The sequence below is a fragment of the Homo sapiens genome, chromosome 2, assembly GCF_000001405.40.
Source record: "Homo sapiens chromosome 2, GRCh38.p14 Primary Assembly".
Lineage (NCBI taxonomy): Eukaryota > Metazoa > Chordata > Mammalia > Primates > Hominidae > Homo > Homo sapiens.
Window position 1 is genome coordinate 238,789,533 of NC_000002.12, and position 14,320 is coordinate 238,803,852.

At 45.7% G+C, this 14,320-nt stretch overlaps 1 pseudogene, besides 1 other annotated feature; it reads left to right on the plus strand.

The window, feature by feature from the left end:
• Positions 12,744-13,943: an enhancer, noted in NCBI's record as "BRD4-independent group 4 enhancer chr2:239710917-239712116 (GRCh37/hg19 assembly coordinates)". NCBI's record gives its function as "activates an origin of replication core promoter dependent on BRD2, P300/CBP, MED14 and CDK7 cofactors, and independent of BRD4, by STARR-seq in HCT116 cells {active_cell/tissue: HCT116}" and the evidence as "EXISTENCE:reporter gene assay evidence [ECO:0000049][PMID:35650434]".
• Positions 13,347-13,479, plus strand: LOC124905451 (uncharacterized; annotated as a pseudogene).

Sequence of the window (14,320 nt, forward strand, 5' to 3'; positions counted from 1 at the left end):
CTTGGAGGGAAAACAAGTTTGTGTGCTTTTTCTGGGTTCATTAGCAGAGCTGGTTGCCTGAGTTGGGTCCCAGCACTGCTCCTGCTGGTAAAGTTCTGCAGGTGTGTGGCTTGTCCTCTAGTTCAGCGGGAGAAACCGATTCTAAGGTTGCCGTATAATTAGCAGGGTCTCCTTTCCCTCCTTTAATCAGCTGCTAACACCTCCTGGCTGTTTAATATCACAGTCAGCCCAGTTATAAACACTAAAGGACATGCTCTTGAAATAATTAAAAAAAAAACTCTGCTCAGTAACAAACATAAAACCCGTCATTATTTAATACAGAGGAATGTTGTGTTATAACAAAATGGTGGTCTTATTCCTGATGCTTTATTCTGATTGTGGGATTTTTTTTTTTTTTTTGAGGAGGCAACTTCTCTGTATAAGGAAACATTGTATCTTTTGTTTACTTTCATCCATCTGATCTGAGACAAAATACACAACAATCTTTCACTCAAGAGCAATTAGTCCTATTCCTGTTTCAGAAAAGGGTTGAACATGTAGACTCAAAGAAGAGAGAATTCTCCCCAAAATGACTATCCATTAAGTCGTAAACATGACTTGGAGGTTAATTTCCTATAGCAAATAACCGTAATTTCCTTGAAATCTAGTTCTTTATGTAATTAAAGTTATTTATTTGAGGACTTAAATGTACTTTAACATTTTACATGCCCTTAGTATCTGTGTAAAATTCAATATTTGGAGCCTGGGGCTGCATTCCCCTGCATATATAATTGCACCGCTGCTCTAACTCACACTGATATTCTTGTGACGATAGATGAAAATGCTAATGTACCGAGGAAAGGGAACGGGAGACAATCTGCGAATACCAGGCCGAACCCCGTTTGCCCTGGACCCTTCCAGAGTCCCTCAGATGAGGGTCAAAGCCTGATTTCTAACAGCAAGGCAGAGAGAGGGTCTCAGAGCGTGTTTATTGATACAGAATGTTGGAGACGGACAGACAGGCCTTTGCCTATGATCAAGCGACTTTCTGTGCAAATCTTATGGAATGCGGCATTCCAGACTTTAAAGGGAAAGGGAGATCACCATGGCAACGGCACATGGGGGCTGGAGATGGGGGGGTTCCCTTGGGAGCTAAAAAGCCAGCAGAATTTTAAGCATTTGCAACTTAAAAAAGAAGAAGATGAAAACCGCACAACTCTGCCAAACACATCTACAGACATGGAATACGGTTAGAGGGTTCTTCAGAAAGATCCAAATAAACACAGCTCAGAGCCTGCACAATACGAGCTGGGAAAAAAATCGGCTAAAAAGTCCCCTGCAGGACCCGGTCTTCTCCATTGAAGAGGGAGACACTGTTGCCGCCAAAGGGCCAACAAGGGGGAGCGTTTGAGGAGGCCGGTGGCTGCCTAGCAAGGGTCCTGGGCCAGGGATTTCCCTGCCTGTCTGCTCTTGAAGCCCTGGGCCCTGGTCTCTCCCAGCTGGAAAACACGGTTTTGTAGATGTAGGACCCAGGCGCAGTGGGGCTGGCTCATCTCAGCCGCTCAGAACCACACAGACTCCAGCCCACCCGCAGTTGGCTCATGGCTTCCAACACCGCAGCAAGGCTGTGTGTAGAAACAGCTTAGTTATCACAGACATCTCTTAGAATTGCAGATAATAAGCCGAAGAGAACCAAGTGTAAAAGTGACTGTAAGCGAATGCAGTTTGTGGTTATAGTATCCGTAAGAGAAAAAAAAAGGACAGATTTATAAATGGGGCCAATTCAAACACTCTAGAAACTGCCTCCCCTGCCAGCTCTTTTATTTAAGAAAAAAAGGAGAGTGCTGAAAACGTGGGGCCAGCCCGTGCCCAGCTGGTCAAAGGCATCGGAGCGCCTGTGTCCCTGAAGGAGCTGGGCTTCAGCCCTGGCCTCTGCAGGGGTCTGAGGTGATGCCGGGGTAGGGGGGCAGGGTGGGGGACATCAATCAACACAAAATGCGGCAAATGCTTCCCTGGAAATGGCAACATAGCAGAGAGCCATGAGCACAGACGGGCCAGCTCCCGCAGCCGCCCTTCCGGTAGTGTCCATGCTCACGGGGCGGGAGGGCAGGCCGGGGATTATCTGGATCATGTAAGTCAGAACGTTGCTGTTCTGGGTGTGTGTGGTCAGGTCAGAGCAGACCTGATTTCTGGTGCAGTGGTGAGCCTGGTTTGTACAGGGACACACCCCAGACATGACCACCCTGCTGTATTTCACAGAATCTCTGCTAGGCAAAGCCTCCAGCTATTTAAAACAGAAATAGCCCCAGCAGGGATGATGAGCAGGGGATTTTGGTGTTCAGTGATTTCGCCTTTGCAGGAAGGCAGGGTGGTGGTGGTGGGGGGGGGCGGGGTAGGGGGCGGGGTGGGGTCCTGGTGACCCCAGCAGGATCTGGCCTGGTTCCAGGCATCACCAGGTACTGGGCTGTGGCCTTGGGTAATTCATTTTTCCTCTCAGAGTCTCTATTTTCTCCTTTGCAAAATGGGTCTAATAATATCTTTTCCACCTTTAGGGACAAGCACTCAAGAAGACAAAGGGAGGGTCAGTGGAAGGGAGGGGAAGAGGTGGGAGGTAAGGGGGCTTCAATAAGTGACCCTCTTTCCTTTTCTAATTGTAAAAGCAGCATATGATTGTCATAAAGGCACTAAAAAATGTAGAAATGCGTAAAGGAGATAATGGCCAGTAAAAGCCAGAGAGAGCCCTTGATAACCTCTCCCCTTCCTCCCTCTCCCTCTCTCACTTGCGAGGAGACCCATGACATAATTATTATTATTATTTTTTTGAGATGGAGTTTTGCTAGTCACCCAGGCTGGAGTGCAGTGGTGCCACCTCAGCTCACTGCAACCTCTGCTTCCCAGGTTCAAGCGATTCTCCTGTCTCAGCCTCCCAAGTAGCTGGGACTATAGGTGTGCATCACCATGCCTGCTTAATTTTTGTATTTTTAGTAGAAACAGGGTTTCACCATGTTGGCCAGACTGGTCTCGAACTCTTGACCTCAAGCGATCCACCCACCTTGTCCTCCCAAAGTGCTGGGATTAGACATACATTTTTGAAATTGTGATAAAATAGACATAACATAAAATATACCATTTTTAACCGTTCTAAGTATACCATTTAATGGCATTAAGAACATTCACATTGTCATGTAACCATCACCAGGATCCCTCTCCATAGCTCCTTTCATTTTGTAAAACTGAACTCTGTATCACTAAACACAAACGCCCAGTTCCCCTCTCCCAGCCCCCAGCACCCACCATTGTGGCACCCACCATTCTACCCTCCCTCTCTAAGAACTTGACCTCATATGAGTGGAATCATATAGTATTTGTTCTTTTTTTTTTTTTTTCTTTTTTTGAGATGGAGTCCCGCTGTTTTGCCCAGGGCTGGAGTGCAGTGGCACGATCTCGGCTCATTACAACTTCCACCTCCCAGGTTCAAGTGACTCTCTTGCCCCAGCCTTCCAAGTAGCTGGGATTACAGGCGCACCACCGCGTCCAGCTAATTTTTGTATTTTTAGTAGGGACGGGGTCTCACCGTGTTAGCCAGGCTGGCCTCAAACTCCTGACCTTGTGATTCACCCACCTCGGCCTCCCAAAGTGCTGGGATTACAGGTGTGAGCCACCGCGCCCAGCCAGTATTTGTTCTTTTGTGTATGGCTTATTTCACATAGCATAAATGCCTTCAGAATTCATCCACATTGCAGCAGGTACTAGGATTTCCTTCCTTTTTAAGGGTGAGTAATGCTCCACTCTGTGGATGGACCACATTTGGTTTAGCCATTCATCTGTTTGTGGACACTCGGGTTGCCTCCCCCTTTTGGCTATTGTGAATAATGTTGTTCCACATACGGTGTGCAAGTATCCATTTCAGCCTCTGCTTTGCATTATTTTGGGTATACGCCCAGCAGGGGAATTGCTGGATCATCTGGTAATTGTATGTTTAATTTTTTGAGGTACCGCCATACTGTTCTCCACAGCAGCTGCACCATTTCACGTTCCCATCAGAAATGCACAAGGCTTCCAATTTCTCCACATCCTTGCCAACACTTGTGATTTACATGTTTTTTTTGTTTTTGTTATATATATATATATATATAAAATAGTCATCCTGATGAATGTGAAGTGGTATCTCCTTGTGGTTTTGATTTACATTTCCCTAATGATTAGTGATGTTGAGCATCTTTTCGTCATCTTATTGGAATTTTTATTTCTTCTGGGAGGAATATCTATTCAACTCCTTTTTCTATTTTTAATTTTTTGTTGTTTCATAAACATCATTTTATAAGGGTTCTTCTCACTTCCTATATGAGAAACATCATTCCTCCTAGATAAATTAGAGTTTCCAGCCATGGTTTCCAGCCTGTCTTTCTGCCTCCCCTCCACGCCCTCCCTCCTGAAACGGGGACCATGTCACGGGTGAGAACGCAGACCCTCGTTCAGGCTCCACTCTTAGCCACTGTGAATTCCTGGGCAAACGGCCTTCCCTATACAACAGTTTTCTCACATGTAGCATGGAGATTGAGTAATGCTTACTGCATACATGGTGTGGATTAAACAAATTAATTTATGTGAAATCCTTAGCACCTGCAGGGAGCCCAGAATTCCATGAAAGAGTGGGCTCTGCTGTTACCAGTGGTGTTGTTATTTCTCATTCCACGCAGGGGGTCTCATCTGGGTTCTGGTGGAAGGATATGGCAGAATCCCCGGGAGGAGGGGGGCTCCTGGATATGCTAACAGATGAAAGCCTCTCCATGCAAGCAAATGGCTGGGAGGAGCCGATGGTTCCTTGTGCCTGGGCATTGCCCATCCTCCTGTCAACTCCTCTCACATCTATCTTTAGGTGGACAATGTTGTCATCTCCATTTGTGGCTGAGAAAATGGAAACCTTAGAAAGATCCAGTAACTATCCAAAGCCACTGACAGGATGCGACCTGAGGCCATCTGCCACGTGCTGCCACCCTAACCAGCCCCACAGGGAGAGCTGGCCGTGGCCTTCAATGACACTATGCCACGTGCTGCCACCCTAACCAGCCCCACAGGGAGAGCCGGCCATGGCCTTCAATGACGCTATGCCACGTGCTGCCACCCTAACCAGCCCCACAGGGAGAGCCGGCCATGGCCTTCAATGACGCTATGCCATGTGCTGCCACCCTAACCAACCCCACAGGGACAGCCGGCCGTGGCCTTCAATGACGCTATGCCATCAGAGCTGCCACCCTAACCAGCCCCACAGGGAGAGCCGGCTGTGGCCTTCAATGACGCTATGCCACGTGCTGCCACCCTAACCAACCCCACAGGGACAGCCGGCCGTGGCCTTCAATGACGCTATGCCATCAGAGCTGCCACCCTAACCAGCCCCACAGGGAGAGCCGGCTGTGGCCTTCAATGACGCTATGCCACGTGCTGCCACCCTAACCAGCCCCACAGGGAGAGCTGGCCGTGGCCTTCAATGATGCTATGCCACATGCTGCCACCCTAACCAACCCCACAGGGAGAGCTGGCCGTGGCCTTCAATGACGCTATGCCACGTGCTGCCACCCTAACCAGCCCCACAGGGAGAGCTGGCCGTGGCCTTCAATGACGCTATGCCACGTGCTGCCACCCTAACCAGCCCCACAGGGAGAGCCGGCCATGGCCTTCAATGACGCTATGCCACGTGCTGCCACCCTAACCAGCCCCACAGGGAGAGCCGGCCGTGGCCTTCAATGACGCTATGCCATGTGCTGCCACCCTAACCAACCCCACAGGGACAGCCGGCCGTGGCCTTCAATGACGCTATGCCACGTGCTGCCACCCTAACCAGCCCCACAGGGAGAGCTGGCCGTGGCCTTCAATGATGCTATGCCACATGCTGCCACCCTAACCAACCCCACAGGGAGAGCTGGCCGTGGCCTTCAATGACGCTATGCCACGTGCTGCCACCCTAACCAGCCCCACAGAGAGAGCTGGCCGTGGCCTTCAATGACGCTATGCCACGTGCTGCCACCCTAACCAGCCCCACAGGGAGAGCTGGCCGTGGCCTTCAATGATGCTATGCCACGTGCTGCCACCCTAACCAGCCCCACAGGGAGAGCTGGCCTTGGCTTTCAATTATGCCATGCCACGTGCCAGAATTTGCCAGAATTTACATCTTGACCGTGGTGGTGGTCACACAACTGTGGACATTTGTCAAAAGTAAAAAGGATGAATGTTACTGAATGCAAACCGTGCCTTAATGAAACACCCTGAATTGCATAAACATTTTTTTCCTTTTAGTTCAAAGGCATTTTCATGATATTTGTTGCACGGTTCGTTTGGTAATAAAGTCAAGAGGCAGCTGGAGGCTGATTTTGTCCAAGGCTCAGTTTGTAGGCTTTGAAATATCAGTGTTTCTTGGTCAGCATCACCTTTCCTGGAAAGAGGTGAGTCTGTGGGAGATCCCATGTGTAGACGGCAGATGCCAGGCTGGGCTCTCCAGGGTCAAATGAGCTAAGTCTGCAAGTCTAATGCAGGCGAGCACCTGCCGGGGAGCTGGGAGGCAGCGTCTTCCTGCTCACCTCCATTCTGAGAACTGTCATCAAGCTCCTCAGCCTCCGGGCTCTTTGAGCTTAAAAACACTACTCTTTTATGAGAATCGCAAAATTATCATAGGGTTCTGGCTCAGTTTAAAACTTAACCTGAGAGGTCTCTGGTGCTGCAGTTTTGTTCTGGAGGTGTTAGTACCCCTGCTTTATGGGGAGGATGTTTGCAGAGAGGAAACACGTGAGTGATCATACATGTATGTTGACGAGAGAAAAAAGCAAGGTGGCAATGACCTTTGTTGGGGCCCTGCCATCCTGGCCGGGATGCCGCAGTAGGACACCCCCTGCCCAGCACTGCCTGTGTGGCAGGAGGACAGCTGGTCACTGTGCCCACTGACATCACAGAGCCTGCAGGTCCCCTTCATGTCCGTGCCTGCCTCTCTGTCCCTGGACCACCCCTGCCCTGCCCACTCCCTGCTCCACATCAGCTTCTCACTAAGTCCTGGTTCCCTCCCATCCTCCTGTAACCTTTCCCTTCTGTGCCCTTCCCTCTGACAATAACTCCCACTGCGCACTGCTGCTCCGGAAAAGGGCTTCATTCGGCTCAACCTGGGTGGGCACCACAAGGACGCGGGGCTGTGCAATGCACGCTGGCAGGCGACAGAACACTTGGGTGGCTTTTGAAGTCAATTTTGTTGAATTAGTGTTGCCGGTATTAAGCACACAGGCGCACGCACATGCACCTTCTTCCTGACATTCTCACATTTTGAGCAAATTCAGTGTAAATGAGACGGGAAGGTAACTGGGAGAATCTCTGTCCACAAGAACTACTTTTAAGGCCAGATCTCATTTTCAGTGAACGACTCTCTGTGTCTTTACTTGATTGTAAGGTTTAGATACATTAGAAATTTAGGTGAGGAAGGTGACAGAATCATGTTATGTCTTGATTGTGTGGTGGTTACACGACAGTATACATTTATCAAGACTGAAAAGGATAAATTTTACTGAATGGAAATCACGCCTTAATAAAAAATGGAAAAACAATAGGTTGCAAGATGAAGAATTCAATAGATTAAACAGGTGTTTGAACTACATGACACCAACAGTCCATTGGCTAATGTTTGTCATTTAATTAGCTGATTCAACGGGCTGTTTGGTAAAGAACCGATATCCAATTCTAAATTTGGCCAGGTTGGGGGAGGACACTCTGTCTTTTTGTCTTTCCAGCTCTCTTCCTTTCTAAGAAGCACTCTCCCTCCTTCTGGAGATCTGATTTCCCCCCATAACTTGATAAAGTTCAGAAAGCTAAGATTATCCCTCATTTCGAAGTGTGTTCAGATGGGCTTTTCCATCCCCCATCCCGGATAGAGCAAGAACGAAGGCTGGGGTCCACAGGAGGAGGACGGGGTGGGCAGGGTCAGATGAGCAGCCGCAGAGGGAAGCGGTCCAGAGGGAGCTCACGGAGCCCACCTGGGCCATTCTGAGGTTAAAAGATGCCTGGACAAGAAGGGCAAGGACCGTGTTGCCCCATTTTCCAGCAGATGCCAGGTGTGAGGTCGCTTCATTGTCGGCTTGTTCTCTCTGGAGCTAGGGTTGTTCTCACAGTCCTTCTGGACAGTGAAGGAGGCCAGGGGTGTAATGAAGAGGGGACACTGCAGCGAGGAAGAACCTGAAGCAACCATGGCACCAAAGAAGGTGGCCTGAGAAACACAAATGGTGGTCAGAGCGTGCTTCCCTCGGAAGAGAGCAGGTGTGATGCAGGAAGAGGATGGAGTCCTTCCATCTCGCCCGCTACCCATCTGTTTACTCCTAACTCTGGGTCTGCACCCACCAGGGGAATATGGAGCCTAGAGAAGGGAGGGCTGGGAAGGACCTTGGCATGGCAGCTGTTGGCTGCAGTAAGAAGAGACCACAGTGAAGCCACACGTTCTGTAGTCTGCCCTAGGAACTGTAAAGGCTGAGTTCACAATGCTGAAAGTTGAATTCATGGTGAAAATAATCAAGCTTTTAAAACATCATCTCGAAATGCAGATATAAAGAATAAAAAATAAGAAAATGATGGGAGAGATAATGATAGACAGAGAAGACAGAATAAAGATCCAACTTATGAAAAATAATAATTTCTAGAAAAAGAAAAAAAAAGCAAATCAAAGTTATAATAGAAGAAAACTTTCCTGAGTGATGTGAAAATATCATTAAGCCCTCTGTATTCCAGGGTTTCCAATCTGCAGATTCAATCAACTGAGGATAAAAAATACTGGGAAAAACAATTAAATATAGTAATATGAAAATTAAAAATAATATAAATAAAATCAATACAATATAACAACTATTTATAGGGCATTTACACTGTATTAGGAATTATAAATAATCTAGAGGTGATTTAAAGCAAACAGGAGGATGTGTGTAGGTTATGTGTAAATACTATGCCGTTTTATATCAGGGACTTGAGCATCCTTAAATTTTGGTCTGTTTGGGGGTCCTGGAATAAGTCTCCATTGGATACTGAGGGATGTTTGTACCTGAGTATCCAAGTCAATAGGATTCTTCAACATTACCCAAGTAGTTCACATTCTAGTGAACATTTGGAAGCACAATAGGAGGAAGGGAGGGATGCAAGGAAGGAAAAGAGGAGACAACAGAAGAGTGAACAGGAAACAAAATTTATTACACCATGTTTTTAGATAAGACTAAATATTACAAACATACAAATTCCTTAATTCAAATTAAAATTCCTACAGGATTTTAACTTCACAAAATAAGGAAGGATAAGAGAAGATAAAGAGGAGTGGACAGGAAACACAATTTCCTACAGCATGTTTCTAGATAAGAAGACTAAATATTACAAACATATAAATTACTTAATTCAAATTAAAATTCGTATAGGATTTCTCTAACTTCACAAAAATAAGTGCATTTGGAAGTCATGTGAAAATGGCTTCAACAAATAAGGAAAGGAAAAGAAAGATAAGAAAGGAAAGAATGGGAAGTGAAGATAAGGAAGAGATGGAGGAGGCCTAGCCCAAATGGATGTTACAGCACTTTTGAATCCACAAAAATTAAGTAGATTTATAGTCATTACAAAGGATCCAACAGTCATGAGATTTGTCCAGTCTTCTCCAAACACTTAAAACTGCTGATCTAAATTTATTTATTTTGAGATGGTCTTGTTCTGTCACACAGGCTGGAGTGCAGTGGTGCCATCATAACTCACTGCAGCCTCCAATTCTGGGCTAAAGTGATTCTCTCAGCTTAGCAGCCTGAGTAGCTGGGTCTACAGGTGCATGCCACCACACCCAGATAATTATTTTTTTTTTTTTTTGTAGAAATGGAGTCTTGCTGTGTTGTCCGGGCTTGTTTCAAACTCCTGGCTTCAAAGGATCCTTCTGTCTTGGCTTCCCAAAGTGCTGGGATTACAGGTGTGAGCCACTGCACCTGTTCTTTAAATTTAAAAATTGAGCCAAGACAAAAAAGCAAGAAAGGGAAACCAGTTCCCAGAAATCAAGAGGAAGCTCTCAGTTGGAGCAGTGAACAGGAGTCTCAGTGGTGTGCTCCAAAGAGGGTGTGCAGGTGGGCTGGAGTTCTCACAGTAGGAGGGGTTCAAATGACCATGAGAAGAAAGAATCCGGAATTTCTCTTCTTGTTTGAATCTAGGAGAGGAGAGTTTGGAAGTTTCCAAGCGTGAGCAGGGAGGGAGCAGAAAGATCTGTGTTTTGGCCACAGGTCATAGCCTGGAAGAAGAAATCCTTTAAAAGGCTGTGAAGTGAGAAGAAGCTCAGCCTGTGCTGTGTGCAGGTGTGAGGCCCAAAGTCACACTTCTATGCTCAGAGTGTGGAGACAGAAGGCTGAAAACCATGCTCACGGATGAGAAGTAGCTACAGCTGAGCCCAGTGTCAACTAAAATAGACCAAAGGGTCCATTGCCCCAGAATGGGAATATTTGTACCCCAGGAACTAAAGTTAATAGAATAATCTGAATGAAACTGTAAACTAGACACACTTTAAATATTCAAAGAGCTAAAGGAAGGGAAAGAGTCCATTCCTGCAGCTGTAACAAAATTCCATGTACTGGGTAATTTATAAACAATGGGAATTTATTTCTCCCAGTTCTGGAGGCTGAGAAGTCCAAGATCAAGGGCCAGTAAACTTGGTGTCTGGTGAGGGCTGCTCTCTGCTTCCAAGATGGCGCCTTGTTGCTGCTGTGCCCTGTGGAGAGGACAGACGCCGTGTTCTCTCTCACTTGACGAGGGGACCAAAGGCTGTGTCCTCACATGCCAGCAGAGTGGAAGCTGGAGGCAGTTCTCTGAAGTCTATTTTATAAGGACATTAATTCCGTTCATGAGACTGGGGTCCTCTGGGCCTAATCACCTCCCACGGGCCCCAACTCTTCATAGCAACCCCTTGAGAGTCAAGCTCCAACACAAGAATTTTGGGGGGATACATACATTCAAACTACAAAAATCCTTAAAGCAAGAATAGGCAATTATGAAATAAGAATCAGCAAACGTGAAACATAATTAAGAAGGAATCCTAGGTTTATAAAAGAACCTAGGTAAAAAGAAACCTCCGAGAGTCGACGTGATGTCGCTGAAGTGGGAAGCCCAGTCATGGACCGCATGTACGACCGTGGTCCCGGAAGAGGATAATGGAGCTGAAAACTCCTATCGCCTGGTGATTTCGATGGCACCGCACATTCCTCACGTGTTTGTGGTATAAACAAACCTACTGCGTGCCAGTCGTCTAAAAGTCTAGCACATAGAATTATGTACATCCCGTAATACTTGATAATGATAACAAATGATGATGTTGCTGGTTTATGTAGTTACTGTATCATACTTTGAGTCGTTGTTTTAGAGTATATTCCTTCCATTTGTTAAAAAATAGAAAAATAGTTACCTGTAAAACAGCCTCAGTGGGTCCTGCAGTAGGTATCCAGAGGAAGACATTGTCATATAGGAGGTGACAGCTCCACGCGTCACCAGTGGGACAAGAGGTGGAGGTGGAAGACAGTAGTATGGGTGACCCCGACCCTGTGTAAGCCTAGGCTAATGTGTCGTAGCTTGATTTTTAGCACAAAAATTTAAAAAGTGAAAAATTAAAGTAAAAATTTTTTAAGCAGAAGGAAGCTTATAGAATAAGAATATAAAGAAAGAAAATATTTTTGTAGAGCTGTACAACGTGTTTGTGTTTTAAGCTAAGTGTTATTACAGAAGAGTCAAAAAGGTTAAAAAGTAAGAGTTTATAAAGTTAAAAAGTTACAGCCAGTTCAGGTTAATTTATTATTGAAGAAAAAAATATTTTTATAAATGTAGTTGAGCCTAAGTGTGCAGTGTCTATAAAGACTCCAGCAGTGTAGACCTTCACATTCACCACCCCTCACTCACAGACTCACCCAGAGCAACTCCCAGTCCTGCCAGCTCCACTCACAGTACATGCCCTAGACAACAGATGCATTCTTTTTCATATTTTACACTGTGTTTTTTGTTTTGTTTTGTTTTGTTTTAGATGGAGTCTTGCTCTGTCGCCCAGCTGGAGTGCAGTGGCACGATCTTGGCTCACTGCAACCTCTGCCTCCCAAGTTCAAGCGATTCTCCTGTATCCTCAGCCTCCCGAGTAGCTGGGACCACAGGCGCGCGTCACTACACCTGGCTAATTTTTGTATTTTTAGTAGAGATGGGGTTTCACCATATTGACCAGGCTGGTCTCAAACTCCTGACCTCGTGATCCACGCTCCTTGGCCTCCCAAAGTGTTGGGATTACAGGCGTGAGCCACTGCGCCTGGCCAACAGTGTTTTTGCTATGCCTTTTCTATGTTTAGATACACAAATACTTCCCATTGTGTTACACTTGCCTACAGTATTCCGTGCAGTCACATGCTGTCTAGGTTTGTAGCCTGGGCAAGAGGCTAAACCACATAGCCTAGGGGTGTAGGAGGCCACACCATCCAGGTCTGTGTAAGCACGCGCTCTGATGTTCACACAATGACAAAATCATCTGACGATGCATTTCTCAGAACATATTCCCATCATTAAGTGACGCATGACTGCAGAAAACTGGGGGAAGAAACCTGAAAACTCGTCAGCCTGCAGCACAGTGAGATAAAGAAATGGAAACACATATGAGAAATTAAGAGACAGAGAGAACAAGATGAGGTGCTTAAATAGGCACCTCATAGAAGTTCTAGAAAGAGAACAGTGAGACTCTGGAATAGTCAATATTTGTAGAGGTAATGCCTGAAGTTTTTCCAGAATTGAAGGACATACATGGTGTGGTTTTAAAATATCCTCAAGTCCTAGACAGGATAACTAGAAACCAATTCCTGTGAAGACAGCGTAACAAACTGCAAAACACAAGGATAAGGAGAAAAATGTGAAAGCTACCCGGGAAGACAGGATAACTAGAAACCAATTCCTGTGAAGACAGCATAACAAACTGCAAAACACAAGGATAAGGAGAAAAATGTGAAAGCTACCCGGGATTAAAAATCACCAAAAACAACAGATACAAGATGAAGGGTATACAGTGAGATGGTGGTACCCACCTCATCAGTAAGGCCGAATGTCGGCGTGCAGGGAAATTATATCCACAATCCTTACATTGTTCTGATCCAAGGACAGACAGACTTCACAGAGCAGGAGAGATAACCTGGAAAGAGAGAAACGAAGTGAATATTCGACAAAAAATGGATCACAAACCAGGACGACTTGGAGGATTAGACAGTAAGTGGTGTTCATATAATTGGTTGGCTATTTAGAAAAACACATTATCTACTGTATACAACCCCAAATATTAAGATTAAAGAGTTAATTTTAAAATAATCATAGTGCACAGCTTTGCACAGTGGTAATATCATAGCCCATGAGGTTTATCTGAGGCGCGATTATTGCTAATTAAAAGCTTCCCCACAATAATAATAGTGTAAAATGTGGGATGAGTAAATTAGAAATGTGCCTAACATTACTGATGGTCAGAGAAACGCAGATCAAAGCAGTGTTCTCATAAGCAGAGGTTTTTAAAAATGTGAATGCCCAGTGCTGGGAGTCAGGTGGGGAGGGGCTGGGTAGCCTCCTAGATCCTTGGCAAGAGTGAGGCTACAAAGTGCTAGAGTGCTTTTGGAAAGCAATTTGGAAATTTATGTGTTAAAAATGATCCAATGTCCATTACCTTTGACCCAGTAATGCCGTGATGAATCATCGACTTTGAGGGAATAATAAAGAACGGAGACAATGATTTATGCCTGAAGGTGTTCCTCACCACCTCATTTATAATAATGAAATCTAAGAGTAACTACAATGTCCATCATCTGAGAGATGTCTTCAAATAAATAATGGAAAGCTAAGTGATGAAATATTATACTGTCAGTATAAACTGTTTGAGAGTTTTTAATAACAGGAGAAAATGTACATGGGATAATGTGAAGTAAAAAAAAAAGCAGGTTATGTTACTGAATATAAAAAATAACTGCAAGGCTCTTTTTAAACAAGCGTGACGCTGCCACAATATTGCCACAGTTACCTTTGAGTGGTAAATTGTGGAAGACTTCTGTTGTCCTCCTCTTTTCTTCCATATAGATGACTGCTTTATGAGCACAGCACAGTCGGGAAGGACTGTTTACGAAATTTGAAATACCTGCTGGAAGGAGCATCCTTTGACCTGCAGTTTGCATGGTGCTTTAGAGAAAGGCAGCACACGTTGCCCTGGGATCCTGTGCCGCTGGGTGCGGGAATGGTGTCTGGGGAGAGAGACGCCACCTGGAGCAGCTCTGAGCAAGGGACTTTGATGACAGGTTTTGTCCTAGGACCA